The sequence below is a fragment of the Homo sapiens genome, chromosome 1 (assembly GCF_000001405.40).
Source record: "Homo sapiens chromosome 1, GRCh38.p14 Primary Assembly".
Taxonomy (NCBI): domain Eukaryota; kingdom Metazoa; phylum Chordata; class Mammalia; order Primates; family Hominidae; genus Homo; species Homo sapiens.
Genome location: NC_000001.11, coordinates 92,299,030 through 92,315,068, shown reverse-complemented (window position 1 = coordinate 92,315,068; position 16,039 = coordinate 92,299,030). Strand labels below are relative to the sequence as shown.

At 38.2% G+C, this 16,039-nt stretch overlaps 2 protein-coding genes across 6 annotated transcripts in view, besides 1 other annotated feature; one reads left to right on the top strand and one right to left on the bottom strand.

The window, feature by feature from the left end:
* Positions 1-16,010, bottom strand: part of RPAP2 (RNA polymerase II associated protein 2) — a 102,998-nt gene extending 86,988 nt beyond the window's left edge. For all 5 annotated transcript variants that reach the window (NM_024813.3, XM_047430820.1, XM_017002363.3 and 2 more), the window contains exons 1-6: positions 15,923-16,010; positions 14,830-14,875; positions 13,479-13,593; positions 10,994-11,092; positions 10,720-10,785; positions 7,793-7,881 (exon numbers count right to left, since the gene is read on the bottom strand). In NM_024813.3, coding sequence (NP_079089.2) covers positions 7,793-7,881; positions 10,720-10,785; positions 10,994-11,092; positions 13,479-13,593; positions 14,830-14,875; positions 15,923-15,995 — 488 coding nt within the window. In that variant the 5' untranslated portion in view covers positions 15,996-16,010. The remainder of the gene's footprint in view (positions 1-7,792; positions 7,882-10,719; positions 10,786-10,993; positions 11,093-13,478; positions 13,594-14,829; positions 14,876-15,922) is intronic.
* Positions 1-16,039, top strand: part of GLMN (glomulin, FKBP associated protein) — a 124,443-nt gene that overhangs the window by 55,776 nt on the left and 52,628 nt on the right. The window lies entirely within an intron of this gene.
* Positions 15,597-15,826: an enhancer, noted in NCBI's record as "active region_1312". NCBI's record gives its function as "activates an Ori minimal core promoter by ATAC-STARR-seq in GM12878 lymphoblastoid cells {active_cell/tissue: GM12878}" and the evidence as "EXISTENCE:reporter gene assay evidence [ECO:0000049][PMID:35858748]".

Here is a 16,039-nt window from a genome sequence, read left to right as displayed (position 1 = left end):
TTTCTATTTATTTATTTATGATTTTGAGACAGAGTCTCGCTCTTCACCCAGGCTGGAGTGCAGTGGCACTATCTCGGTTCACTGCAACCTCTGCCTCTCGGGTTCAAGAGATTCTCGCACCTCAGCCTCCCGAGTAGCTGGGATTACAGGCGTGAGCCACCATGCCCGGTTAATTTTTGTATTTTTAGTAGAGACGGGGTTTTGCCATGTTGGCCAGGCTGGTCTCAAACTCCTGACCTCAGGTGATCCACCTGCCTTGGCCTCCCAAAGTGCTGGGATTACAGGTGTGAGCCACCACACCCAGCCTTTTTTTTTTTTAATTTATTGAGATGGAGTCTCACTCTGTTGCCCAGGCTGTAGTGCAGTGGCACCATCTCAGCTCACTGCAACCTCTGCCTCCTGGGTTCAAGTGATTCTCCTGCCTTAGCCTCCCAAGTAGCTGGGATTACAGGTGCATGCCACCACCTATTTTTGTATTTTTAGTAGAGATGGGGTTTCACCCTGTTGGCCAGGCTGGTCTTGAACTCCTGACCTCAAGTGATCCACCGGCCTTGGCCTCCCAAAGTGCTGGATTACTGGTGTTAGCCTCTGTGTCCAGCTGTAATCTAAGAGTCTATCAGTTGTGAGATCCATTTCAATTGCACAGATGTTAAAAATGTAAAAATGTATGCAACTTAGAATAAATAAAATGCACTACTAAATGCAAAAAAAAAAAAACCCAAAAACCAAAAAACAACAGCAACAGCAACAACAACAAAAAAACCCTTACAATGGCCTCTGAGTGTTCAAGTAAAAGGAAGAGTCACACTTTCTTTCACTTTAAATCAAAAGCTAGAAATGATTAAGCTTAGTGAGGAAGGCATGTCAAAAGCTGAGACTGGCCAAAAGCTAGGCCTATTTTGCCAGTACGCAAGTTGTGAATGCAAAAGAAAAGTTCTTAAAGGAAATTTAAAATGCTAGTCCAGTGAACACAAAAAAGCAAAACAGCCTTATTGCTGGTATAGAGAAAGTTTTAGTGGTCTGGATAGGTTAAACCAGCTACAACATTCCCTTAAGCCTAATCCAGAGCAAGGTTCTAACTCTCCTCAATTCTGTGAAGACTGAGAGAGGTGAGGAAGCTGCAGAAGAATAGGTAGAAGATAGCAAAGTTTGGTTCATGAGATTCAAGGAAAGAAGCCATCTCCACAACATAAAAGTGCAAGGTGAAGCCACAAGTGCTGATGTAGAAGGTACAGCAAGTTATCCAACAGATCTAGCTAGGAGCACTGATTAAGATAGCTACACTAAACAAATTTTCAATGTAGACAAATCAGCCTTATATTGGAGGAAGATGCCATCTAGGGATTTCATAGCTATAGAGGAGAAGTAAATATGTGGCATCAAAGCTTCAAAGGACAGGATGACTCTCTTGTTAGGGGCTAACGTAGCTGGTAACTTTAAGTTGAAGCCAATGCTTATTTATTATTCTGAAAATCCTAGGGCCCCTAAGAATTATGCTAAATCTACTCTGCTTGTGTTCCATAAATGGAACAGCAAAGCCTAAACGACTGCACATCTGTTTACAGCATGGCTTACTGAATATTTTAAGCCAACTGTTGAAACCTACTGCTCAAAAAAAAAAAAAAGATTCCTTTCCAAATATTACTGATTATTAACAATGTACCTAGCCACCCAAGAACTCTGATGCAAATGTACAAGATTAGTGTTGTTTTCATGCCTGCTAACACAATATCCATTCTGCAGCCCATGGGTCAAGGAGTAATTTCAACTTTCAAGTCTTAAGACATACATTTCCTAAAGGTATAGTTGCCATAGAGTGATTCCTCTGATGGATTTGGGCAAAGTAAATAGAAATCCTTCACGAAAGGATTCACCATTCTAGATGTCATTAAGAACATTTGGGAGTGGGCACAGTGGCTCATGCCTGTAATCCCAACACTTTGGGAAGCCAAGGTGCGTGGATTACTTGGGGCCAGGAGTTCGAGACCAGCCTGGCCAACATGGCAAAACCCCCATCTCTACTAAAAATACAAAAATAAGCCGGGTGTGGTGGCGCATGCCTGTGGTCCCAGCTACTTGGGAGGCTGAGGCATGAGAATCGCTTGAGCCTGGGAGGTAGAGGTTGCAGTGAGCTGAGATTTCGCCACTGAACTGAGGAGGCAGAGGTTGTAGTGAGCCAAGATCGCGCCACTGCACTCCAGCCTGGGTGACAGAGTGAGACTCTGTCTGAAAAAAAGAAAAAAGGAAAAAAAAAAAAAGAACATTTGGGATTCATGGGAGGAGGCCAAAATATCAACATTAACAAGTGCTTGGAAGAAGTTGATTGTAACCCTAATGGATGACTTTGAGGGGTTCAAGACTTCCGTAGAGGTAGTCACTATGGATATGGTGGAAATAGCAAGATAAGAATTAGAAGTGGAGCTTGAAGATGTGACTGAATTGCATCAATCTCATAATCCAACTTGAACGGATATACAGCTGCTTCTTATGGATAGGCAAAGAAACTGGTTTCTTGAGATGGAATCTACTCCTGATGAAGGTGCTGTCAACATCGTTGAAATGGTAACACAAGATTTAGAATATTCCATAAACTTAGCTGATAAGCAGCAATGAAGTTTGAGAGGACTGACTTCAATTTTTTTTTTTTTTTGAGACACGGTCTTGCTCTGTTGCCAAGGCTGGAGTGCAGTGGTGTGATCTAACTCACTGCAACCATGAACTCCTATGCTCAAGTGATCTTCTAGTCTCAGCATCCCAAGTAGCTACAAGGACTACAGTTGTGTGCCACCACACCCAGCTAATTTTTTATTTTTTAAATACTTTGTAGAGATGGGTCCCTCTATGTTGCCCAGGCTGGTCTCAAATGTCTTGTTTAAGTGATCCTCCTGCCTTGCCCCGCAACAATGCTGGGATTACAGGCATAAGTCACTGCTCCTGGCCGGACTCCAATTTTGAAAGATGTTCTGCTGTGGGTAAAATGCTATCAAACAGCATCTAATGCTACAGAGAAATCTTTAGTGAAAGGAAGTCGATCAGTGCAGCAAACCTGGGGTTGTCTTATTTCAACAAATTACCACAGCCATCCCAACCTATAGACACCACCACCCTGATCAGTTAGCAGCCATCCACATCAAAACAGGACCCTTCACCAGCAAAAAGATTAATACTTGCTGAAGGCTCAGATGATCAGTAGCATCTTTAAGCAATAAAATATTTTAAAATTAAGGTATGTACATTATTTTTTAAAGATATAACGCTACTGCACATTTAAAAGACTACAGTATAGTGGAAACATAACTTTTGCATACACTGGGAAACAAAATCCATGATTGCTTTATTGCTTTAGTATAGTGGTGGTCTGGAACCAAACCTGCAATATCTCCAAGATATGCCTGTACTTACTGGCTTTCACAATAATGTAAGAAAGACCAAATTAGGTCAAATTCAATATTCTGTTTCCAAATGGTGTGTAAGGTCATGGCATCCTCAGTGATGCCAAGTTCAAATTGTTCAGGACATGCTCTAAAACATGCCTGGTTTTTCTTCATAATTTAAAAGCTTTGATCTACATTTTATCAGCCTTCACTTTTACAGACTAAAGAGATCAAATTATTAAAGTCAGTAACTTTATTCAAAATTATTGAGACAGACCTTTCTACAAGGTAGTATAAGTTTCTCTAGTCTTAAGCAGATAATTTTAATTTTCATCATTTTAATAAATATTTCCTTATGTAGAAAACTTTCTCTATAGTAGCAATGACTAATGACACAATTGGCTTAGAACTGTAAATCATTAGAACCAAAGGGAACTCGGAAGTTGAATGCAACTTTTTCCTTTTACAAATGAGGAAACTGAGACTTAGTGTTGAGAAGCAGGTTTCCTACAGTAAAACAACCAAAAACGTGAGCTAAATCCAACAAAACAGCGCTCTTCAAACTGCAGATCAGGACCAATCAATTAAGTAGGTTGCTGCCAGCATTTTAAAAAAGCAACAGAGTAGAAAATATCAGAGGCATTTCATGTAGTAAGAATAATATTGTTTCACAGAAGTTTTGCTTTAGTTTTAGTTATATGCATATATGAGATAATGTAAAATGCACTTATTATAGTGGTCGAAAGTTTGGAAGTCATTTCAATAAGATATCTAATCTTTTGGGTGGATTTAACAATTTATTCTTAGTCTCGTTCTGTTGCCCAGGCTGGAGCGCAATGGTGTGATCTCGGCTCACTGCAACCTCTGCCTCCCAGGTTCAAGCGGTTCTTCTTACTCAGCCTCCCAAGTAGCTGGGGCTACAGGCATGTTCCAGCACTCCTGGCTAATTTTTATATTTTTAGTAGAGATAGGGTTTTGTCATGTTGGCCAGGCTGATCTTGAACTCCTGACCTCAGGTGATCCACCAGTCTCGGCCTCCCAAATGCTGGGATTACGGGCGTGAGTCACCACACCTGGCCATAAAAATTTATTATTATTTTAAAATTATGATTATTAAAATTACTATTATGATGCAATTTATTCTTTATCATGACTCATTGTAAGCTAATAAAAATATCTCTGCATTAAATACTACATGCCACCATTTAAAAGAAGCAATTTTTTCCTCCCTAAAGGAAGACTGACTCAGGATATTGTATCCCATGCCATATGTAAACAGACATTCTTTAAAATATCACATTTCTGTAGAGCTTAAATGTGCAATAGCTAGACAAGCTTTTAAAAATACAAAATTCTAGAATTCTGATCCTTGGCACAGGTAAAAAGATGTCTGAAAAAACAGTGACCTCTAGTGGATTCATTAAATAGCATGGACATAATCCCTGCCCCTAAGAATTTGGAAATTAAGGTAACACAAATGCATCCAGATATAAAAGATACTGATATGGTTATACACTGACAAGTGTTATATATAATTAAGGGCTACAGTTATGCTATACAATGAGGCAGATGCATATATATAGATTATTCACTGTTTCCTTCTAATCAAGTGGAATATAATAAATAGAATCCTGGTCTCATACGGATCACTAGTTTAAGAAATACACTTAATGAAGGGGTTGGATTAAATCTCTCTAAGGACCCTTTTAGCTCTTTTAATTATGATTCTTCTTTAATTCATTTTGTACACCAATATCAGAATAAATTCTGCTCAAAAACATTTGATGGCTCCCCAATACTTGAGGGTTTACCACACTCAGCCTGGCCCTTTGTTATTTACCTATTGTTATCTTCTCGTTTCCCAAATTTCAAGTGGGCCAATGTTCAATATCCCAACCCATTCCCACAAGTTTATTTTCTCACTTTTGCTCACAGTTTCTCATTATGCAATGTCCTAACCTTGCTAATTTATAGGACAGGTCCCCATTAAAGTCAACACAAACTTGTTTAATTCATGTTCTGGCATCCAGTGATTGTTAAATTCACAGGTTGGGTTTTATACTTGTATATGTGTATGTGTATGTGTATGTGTATGTGTATGTGTATGTGTATGTATATGTATATGTGTATGTGTATGTGTATGTGTATGTGTATGTGTGTAGCCTGCCAGGTACTAAGCACTTACTGCACAATTTAAATGTAAATTAAGTTGATTCATTTAGATTAGAGAAACAAAGTCCATTTTTTTTTTTTTGAGATGGAGTCTTGCTCTGTCACCAGGCTGGAGTGCAGTGGCACGATCTCAGCTCACTGCAACCTCCGCCTCCCAGGTTCAAGCAATTCTCCTACCTCAGCCTCCTGAGTAGCTGAGACTACAGGCATGTGTCACCACGTCCAGCTAATTTTTGTATTTTTAGTAGAGACAGGGTTTCACCATGTTGGCCAGGATGGTCTCGATCTCTTGACCTTGTGATCTGCCCCCCTCGGCCTCCCAAAGTGCTGGGATTACAGGTGTAAGCCACCACGCCCGGCACAAAGGACATTTTCATCTTTCTTTTTTAGTGAGGTAGTGAAGGGTATATAGCTAAGGTAGAATTTCAAGAACTGCAAATATAAAGTAAAAGGGCTTCAAGTTTTGGGAAACAGTGAGCATTCTGAATAGAGGATGGTGAGATTTTAGGAAAAGGTTACAGGAAGACCTGTTTTACTTCATTTTATTTATTTATTTAATTTTTGAGACAGAATCTCACTCTGTGGCCCAGGCTAGAGTTCAGCAGCACGATCTTGGCTCACTGCAACCTCCGCCTCCCAGGTTCAAGTGATTCTCCTGCCTCAGCCTCCTGAGTAGCTGGGATTACAGGTGCCCGCCACCATACCCAATTAATTTTTGTATTTTTAGTAGAGACAGGGTATCACCATATTGGCTAAGCTGGTCTCAAATTCCTAAACTCAAGTGATCCACCCACCTTGGCTTCTCAAAGTGTTGGGATTATAGGCATGAGCCACTACACCAGGCTGGAAGATTTGTTTTAAATTAGCTAAAGGAAGGACCAATACCTATGCTTGAAGAAAACAGAGATGGCAGGAAAGGTAATTTGGTAAATGGTTTTGAAGCAGTTGAGGTAGATATGAGGGTGGCACAAAGGGTTAAATTTAAGATGTAGAGAAAATATCTTTGGAAGCAAAGTTAAGGATAACTTGAGGAAACACTGGTTTCAGTGGGGAATAAAACATGTTGCTCTCAGAGGACTGGGGAAGTACTGGGCAGCTCTAGTGACAGAAATATTAAGAAAGGAGAAAAAGGATAAGTAAAAAAGTACTCTTAGCTTCCCAGTCATGTCGAACAATGCCAGAGTCTTTTATTTTCCCAACAAGGAAGCTGGCAGACTGGTGGTGAAATGATGAACAATTTAGTCTTAATTATGTTTAACTCAATTATCAAGGGCCACACAGTGTTAAGTTTTCCATATCCTAAACCACACAGGATTGGATCGGCAGGCAGAGGTGTCTGCCATCACAGGTGCTGTTGTCAGCATAATTGATGTTATTTGAATTGAGAGTGGTGTTACATCGCCTTACGCATCAGAAAAGACTTCAAGGTTTGCTTTTTTTTTTTTGAGCCAGAGCTTTTTAGCTAACCTGCATCTCATTATGTTTAGGTCATTAGTTTATTTAGCATAGGTCCTACCTTACCACAAGTAACACTGCCTTGTGTTGCTATAATACACTCTTTCAAACATGAATTTATTTTGGGCATTATCTCATTAAGCATTTCATTGGAATTTCTAGGCAATACAGTTTAATTACCATAAGGATAACTTGTTACCTTTATATTATCATGCCATTTCACCCTCAATAATAAAATTTTCTTGACTTTAGCATCTAGTAAAACATTGCCAGTATTTAAATCATTTCCCAAGAGGCTAAACTCCAGCATTGCCCATAAACTCTTTTTACAAAAAAAAAAATTACTTTTTAATTGTGTCTTTAAATTGATAAAATAGTGTACTGATTTTTATAAAGATTAAATGAACCTGAACTTTCTAACCTTTCTCATAGCAGAGTTCACCTGGATCCTAAGACCCAGTAACTTCTGAAAAAATTTAACATTCTTCCTCCAGGATTATTATATTAACAGGATTCACAGACATAACTAGCATCACAGGACACTGGAGTTAAAGTTCTGATTTTGCAATTAAAGCTAAAACAACAAACAAATAACATTTGTATGTATGCATTTTCTGATTTTAAGTGTAAAATCCTTAATAGCTATGCTTAAAATATAACCATTTCCCCATAAAGTATATAAAATGGTAACTTTTTACAGAAAACTAGACTTACTCTCAGCTAATCTCAAAAAGCAGAAACAAATTATTAGAATATATGAACAAATGTATATACACAATGACTTAAATTACCTCTCTTCTTCTCGAACCCATACTGGAGTTTTGGGAATTTGTGCTTCAAAAAACTTAGATGCTTGATAACAAAAATTGCTGCAAAAAGACTGAAAAGAACATTATAAATCTAGTTTTTTTCTTATCATGAAACATTACCTACATACAGTTGAGAGTATAAAACATAAATGTATCGTTCAAAGAATAAAATGGAAACCTACAGATCTACCACCCAAGGTAAGAAATAAGATACTGAACCTTTGAAGGCCTCTATGTGCCCCTTCCCAACTGCATCACCCTCCGCATTCCCCAGAAGTAACCACTACCATAAATTTGGTGTTAATCATTCCCTCATTTCCTTTCAGTTTTAGCACCTGTGTACATATCCCTATTAAAAAATATTCAGTTTTGCCTATTTTTAAACATTTTTTTGAATGGAATAATATTGTTATACATTCTTATCTTACTTCATTCACTTATTAAATTTTATTTTTTTTAGGGACAGGGTCTCACTCACTGTAGCCTCAAACTCCTGGGCTCAAGTAATCCTCTGGTTTCAGCCTCCTGAGTAGCTTGGACTACAGGCGTGCCACCACACCTGGCTATTTTATTTTTTTGTAGAGATGGGGTCTCTATTTGTTGCCCAGGCTGGTCTCTATCTTCTCTCCCTGGCCTCCCAAAGTGCTGGAATTATAGGTGTGAGCCACCGTACCTAGCCACTTCTTTTGTTTAAAATTATGTTTTTAAGATTCATTCAAGTAGTTGTAGCTTATTAATTTTCACTGTGTACTACATTCCATTGTTAGAGTATTACACTTTACCATTTATAGACAATTGAGTTGTTTCTAATTTTTTTGCTATCACTACAATGTTACTATAAACTTTTTTTTACAATTAAAAAATGTTCACAATTGTGGTAAAATATACATAATCTAAAATTTATCATCATAAGCATTTTTAAGTATATAGCACAGTGGTATTAAGTACCTTCACACTGTTGTGCAACTATTACCACCATTCATCTTTAGAACTCTTTTTATCTTACAGAACTGAAACCCTATACACTAACTTCCCATTCCCACCTCTCTTGATGATCATTCTACTTTCTGTCTCTGTTAATCTGACTTCTCTAGGTACCTCATATAAGTGAAAGCATACAGTATTTGTCCTTTTGTGCTGGCTTATTTCACTTAGCATATTATCTTCAAGGTTCATCCACCTTGTAGCATGTGTCAGAATTTCCTTCCTTTTTTTAAAGGCTAATATTCCATTGTGTGTATATACGACATTGTTTATCCAGCTATAAACATTTTTATACATACATGCTGGTGTACATGTGTAAGAATTTTTTTAGGGTTTATACCAAGGAATAGAAAGGCTTAATTATAGAGAATGTGCAAAGACTTCACCAGACAAATGCCAAGCCATTTCTCAAAAAGGCTGTACCAATTTTCATTCCCACTAGTTGCAAAAAGATTTCCTAACATTCGCAATTTTGTGGGCTGTGAAAACAAAACTCAGTGTGTTTTTATTTGCTATTTCTCTGATTACTGATAATATTTAGCATCTTTTCATATGTTTATTAGCCATTCAAGTTCCTTGTGTAAATTTTTCTATTAGTTTGTCTGTCTTTTTCTTATAGATCATATATTCTAGATATGATTCTATGGTCAGTTAACATTCTGCTTTGTGGCTTCTCTTTTCATTTTTTTTTTGAAACTTCTGATGAACAAAAGTTTTACATTTTAATATAGAAATGTTTATCAGTTTCTCCTCTTTGGCCTATAATTTTCCATCTTATTTTATGAAGTCTCTCTACCCCAAGTTTATATCTTCCCATATTGTCTTTTTTTTTTTTTTTTTTTGAGACGGAGCCTCACTCTGTTGCCCCGGCTGGAATGCAGTGGTGCGATCTCGGCTCACTGCAAGCTCCGCCTCCCGGGTTCACGCCATTCTCCTGCCTCAGCCTCCCGAGTAGCTGGGACTACAGGCGCCCGCCATCACGTTTGGCTAATTTTTTTGTATTTTTAGTAGAGATGGGATTTCACTGTGTTAGCCAGGATGGTCTCGATTTCCTGACCTCGTGATCTGCCCGCCTCGGCCTCCCAAAGTGCTGGGATTACAGGCTTGAGCCAGGGCGCCCGGTCTATTGTCTTTTTTTTGAAGACAGTGTCTTGCTCTGTTGCCCAGGCTGGAGTGCAGTGGCATGATCTCGGCTCACTGTAACCTCTGCCTCCCAGGTTCATGCGATGCATGTGCCTCAGCTTTCTGAGTAGCTGGGACTACAGGTGCGTACCACCACCTTTGGCTGATTTTTGTACTTTTTGTAGAGACAGGGTTTTGCCGTTGCCCAGGCTGGCCTCCAACTCCTTGAGCTCAGGTAATCCGCCCCCCTTGGCCTCCCAAAGTGCTAGGATTACAGGTGTGAGCCACCACGACCAGCATCTCCCATAGTGTCTTCTACCTTTTACATTTATGTCTTTAATCTACCTAAAATTGATCTATGTATAGAGACTGAGATAGGCATCAATTTTAATTTTTTCCATTTGCATAACTAATTGTGCCAGTATAATTTATTGAAAAATCCATCCTTTCTCTACTGATCTACAATACTCCCGCTGTCATATATCAAGTGTCTACATATGTGGTTAGTCTGCTGCTGACTCTCTATTCTGTTCCATGATTTATTTGCCCAGATTTGTGCCAATATGCACTTTTAAATGTTCAAGTCTTAATTGAAGCTTAAGCAAAAAAATTTTTAATACCTTGATTGAAATATTTACAAATAAAATCAAACTTTTAACATCACTATTTTCTAACCAGTAAGATTTTAAAGTTTCTTTTAGAATCCTATTTAATATCATTAAAAATTAATTGCCATGCCTTGTTAGGATAGTGGTTAGTAAAGAAAAAAAATTAATTGCCACAATGAAAGCCTTTAAACTCACCTTTCTTTCAGTAATATCATAGACTTTATTGGTTTTGGTAGAAATTTTATATTTCTGTTTTGGTACCTAAAGAAAAGAAAGTACAGCTTACAAAAGAATCCAAATAATAAACATGAACGTTATGTTACAAGATTAAGTCATCTACATATCATATCATTGGCCAATCCATGCCTTTAGTTCATGACCTTAGGTTTTATTTCTTATTCTTACAACAAAGTATTTTGCTAAATGAAAATAATAAAAGCCTATATTTTAAAAAAAATGAGTTACTTACAATTCCCAGCTTCTTCTGACATAAAGGATAACCACAGAGTTTGACAATAGAACGTTCATCCACGACATCACTGTAGTGAGCAGGTGTAATGAACCTCCCCTAAAATGAAATGAGAGGGTTATTTCCTCCTAGTTTAATAGAAAAGTTCATTTATCAGCTCTCTAAGCCTCATCAATCTTATCTGAAAACACAGGGATAGCAATAGTACCTTCCTCATAAGTTAGAGGTTAGAATTAGAGGAGAAAATAAAGCAAAATCACTTAGAGAAGTGCTCAACATATAGTGAGCATTCAAAAAAAAAGTTATTATTAAAAAAATTTCTGCCACAGTAGTCTCTGCATCTTTGTAGATTATATAGTTAAATGAAATAATTCTGAGGCATGAGGAAGAAGTGATGCTATAGCTATACACAAGCTAAATGACAACAGTATCTTTTATTTTTGAAAAAGTATTATTTAAAAAATTAACTAAATCACAAAATAATAAAATATAATTTTACCTATTTTTTAAAGCATAATCTTTAAAAACAAAGTATTTCAAAAGTGTCATTGTTACTGCAGAACACAGTTTGTGCAAAATTTTCCTACTTCTGAAAAATCTGTACAGAGTGGTGAGGTGATGGTTATAAGCTAACATCAAATATTTTCCTTTGACATCTTCATGATCAAATAATTTTGATTCTTGTTCATAACTTTGAGATCTTTTAACAAGTTTTTCTGTTTTCACAGAGACAGAAATACTTTTTATTGAGAGTGATGTAAGTTTTATGTTTCAAATGAAGCATATTTGCCTTTGTCTTTTCTGGTGTCATCAAATATGCAGATTCTGATGCAGTTACCTGTGTCAATAAAAATATGAATTGTCATGTTCATATTCCTGTTTAGAAAAAGATCTATCAACTACACTAAGAAGTGTTTTTGTAATAGAAGCTTTGAGTTTTAATTTGCCCTCTTAAGGATTACAAAAATATAAAGAGAAATTTCCATTCAAAATTTTAATGTAGTAAAGCTGTTTCAAAATTTTTTTATTCTCAAATTTTTATTTAGACAGGGTCTCGCTGTGTTGTCCAGACTGGTCTCAAACTCCTGGGCTCAAGCGATCCTACCGCCTTGGCTTCCCAAAGTGCTGGGATTACAGGTATGAGCCATCGTGCCTGGCCAAAAAAAAATTAATGCGGGCCGAGAGCAGTGGCTCATGCCTGTAATCCCAGCACTTTGGGAGGCCGACGCGGGCGGATCACGAGGTTAGGAAATCGAGACCATCCTGGCTAACACAGTGAAATCCCATCTCTACTAAAAATACAAAAAAATTAGCCGGGCGTAATGGTGGGCGCCCAGTCCCAGCTACTCGGGAGGCTGAGGCAGGAGAATGGCGTGAACACGGGAGGCGGAGCTTGCAGTGAGCAGAGATCCCGCCACTGCACTCCAGCCTGGGCGACAGAGTGAGGCTCCGTCTCAAAAAAAAAAAAAAAAAAAAAAAAAAAAATTTAATGCGGAATTTAATTCTCCCGTTTTATGTTGAGTCATAAATGAGCTGTATTTCAGGTTTTTGAAATAAGAAAATTGATGAAATTACATTGACAAAAATAATATTCTTCTGTTACTTAAAATAACACAACACAGAATATAGAAAACTGGAATTGCAATCATTAGAACAAATTGAAGAAAATCAAGTGATATTAGCAGACTGGTTAAAAGAACTATGACTAAGGGTAAAATATATTTGCTTTTTCTTTTTTTTTTTTTCTCCCCCATCCTCATTTTTCTTTTTTCCCATTTATTATTTATATACTTATTTTGAGACAGAGTCTCACTCTTGTTGCCCAGACTGGAGTGCAGTGGTGTGATCTCAGCTCACTGCAACGTCTGCCTCCTGAGTTCAAGTGATTCTCATGCCTCAGCCTCCTGAGCAGCTGGGATTACAGGCATGAGCCACACCTGGCTAATTTTGTATTTTTAGTAGAAACGAGGTTTCACCATGTTGGCCAGGCTGGTCTCGAACTCCTGACCTCAAGTGATCCGCCTGCCTTAGCCTCCCAAAGTGCTGGGATTACATGAGCCATTGTGCCTGGCCTCTTTTGCTTTTTAATTGACAATAATAATTGTATATATTTGTGGGGTAGTATGTGATGTTTTAACACATGTATACATTGAGCAAATCAGGCTAATTAACATATCTATCACCTCACATATTTATCATTTCTTTGTGGTGAGAACATTTGAAATCCACTCTTATTAATTTTGAAATATACATTACGTGTCATCACCTTGTTACGTACTTATTTTTCATTAGTGCATTTTAAAGTCATTATACAAGGAATGCATGATAGTTGTTTATTTTTAAATGCATGAATTATATGGATTGTTATCTGCATCTAATGACTCAGAACAAATTCAAAGATTCTAATAATGCAAAGAAGTTTCATGCTGCACAGATTTAAAGATGTTATACTACAAAACTAATAATTTGTCAACTTAACACATACACACTCCATTAGGAACTCTTCTGTAATATTCTCCTCTAAAAGCTGTTCAACAATATGTAGAGCTTTTCTCTCAAATTCAATCTTCTTTCTCACAGCTGCTTCTAGTTCAGCTTTCCTAAAATTTGAAAGAGAAACTTAATCTACTTAAAAGCTTCATGTCCAACATTCCATGTTTTAAAATACAATACTAACCTAACTCACTATTTTGCCACTTAAATTTAAATATATTTAAAAAATTTTTTGAATAAAAATATTTATTTCTTTTTAATTGTAGAGACAAGGTCTCACTATGTTGCTCAAACTGGTCTCGAGCTCCTGGCCTCAAGCAACACTCCCACCTCAGCCTCCCAAAGTGCTGGGATCACCGGCATAAGCCACCACATCCGGCCAAATTTCTGTTTTCTAATGCTGTTACTTTTGATCCAATACTTTTCAAAAAGGAAACAAGCTACTTTTTGCACTGCACATACATAAGTCTTTATATACTCTTTGTATGGTTAATGTCTACTTAGCACGCAGGTCTCAGCATAAGGCTTTCGCTGAAAACTCACAGCCAACCTCCCTGCCACCCACCTCCAACTAAATTAGACTTCGTTATTCCTTCTCGTAACATCACAGTCTTTTCCTTCATAGTGCTTATCACAATTTGTAATTATGTATTTGTTTATGTTAATTAACTAATTAATTTATTATTATTTATTCCTCTGTTCCACTAGGCAAGAACTGTGTCTATTCTGTTCACCATATCTTCAGAGCCTAACACAGGTCCGACATATCTTATACTCAATAAATAATTTTTGAAAGAATGAGTAAATTAAGACCAAAGCCAATATAAGATTAGTGAGTCTTCACAAAATAAAAATCATAGCTACATATGCTTTTAATCCCCTTCACATTCTACTCCTCTTCTAGAAACTCTGTGTGATATGTGGTAATATCTTGCCTTTTTAGAACCAGAACTAGTACAAGACAGCTTTTTAATGAAAATCTGGACTTGATGTAACAAAGAACAGAAAAGGTTTCTTGGAGTGACAGCGAAACTTGGAGAGTGAGTCTCTGGCATATAAAGCAATAAAAGGAGAGTGTACCTGAAGCGGTGAAAAACAAACACCTTCTACAGACACTCATTCCTTCACTAGCAGTCTGAGTGCTTAGTTTGGTTTTCTTAAAGCCTGGAGTAGAGGAATGTAACAGTCTATGTGAGAATTTATAGGCCTTCCCAGATCTTTCCCTTCCCTCTCATGATAATTTTCTCTAAAAAAAAAAAGGTAACCATTATTGTTTTAAAATTGGTACAAGTAATACAAGATAAGTAGATATGCCAATGTAGTTGTCCATGTAGCTGTCATACCTTTTAGAAGCATCTTCTTGTTTCAAAGTACTTGTCTGTTTAGTACCTACAATAAAAATACAGTCATGTGCTACATAATGACATTTCCGTAAACGACGGACAGCATACAGACAGCGGTCTCATAAGATTAAAATACTGTATTTTTACTGTACCTTTTCTATGTTTAGATATACAGTTGCCTACAGTACTTAGTACAGTAACATGCTGTGCAGGTTTGTAGCCTGGGAGCAATAGGCTGTACCATATAGCCTAGTGTGTAAGTAGGCTGTACCATCTAGGTTTGTGTAAGTGCACTCGATGATGGTCACACAAGGATGAAATCGACTAACAACTTATTTCTCAAAATGCATCCCCGCAGTTAAGCTACACATGGTGGCAGTAGGTCAGGTCTACACAAACACATTAGGTACAAGATAGATTCCTACACAAATAACAAACTGTAGACCACCTTTTCTTCTTTTCCACATATTTTATGTCCAATCGTGTGTAAATCAAAATGAAATAGGAAGGGAGAGCAATTTGTTTTTGCAAATTGATTACTGTCTAATTTTTCTTGGTTAAAATGTATCTCTTTGGGGATTGAATTTTCTTCTGTATCATAGTTGCTTAATTAACCACTCCTGAAAATCTGAGATCTGGGTACTTTTAGGGGAAACCTCTCTCCGTCTGCCAAACGTCCTCTCTGGGGGAAGAGGGGAGTCCGGCACCTTAAAGAACTGGGCACCCAAGCAATCTGGAAAGGAGGACCGGTCCTAGGTTCAAGGCCAGCTGCCAACGCTGCCCTAGTCACTTGCCCCGAAACCCGGGGACCCCAGGCCTGGGTTCCCGGGGCCTCCACTGTCCTTTGTCTCAGAGGCTGGGGCCACAGTCCGCGTGAGGGAAATCTTGGAACACTGGCGTAAAGGGGTGAGGGGCGGCCAGGAAATCTTTCCCAGGAGGTGCGGACGGCGGTGGGAAGCTTTCGGCCTACTCTACCTGGGAGAACCCCTCCCCTGAAGCAGCCTTTCAGGAGCGCCCGCGCGCTGCGGTCTATAACTCGAGATCGGGGCCCAGCTTTCAGGGTCCAAAAGTGGGAAGAGATCCTTGCTCCTACCTGCGGCTTTTCGAGAGCAGCGGGGAGCCCCGGCCTTGCGGCCGGCAGAAGACGGCCCAGCGAAGTCCGCCATGGGGGAGAGTAGTCTGCCGGACGGGGACACGCTCCGGCGTCTCG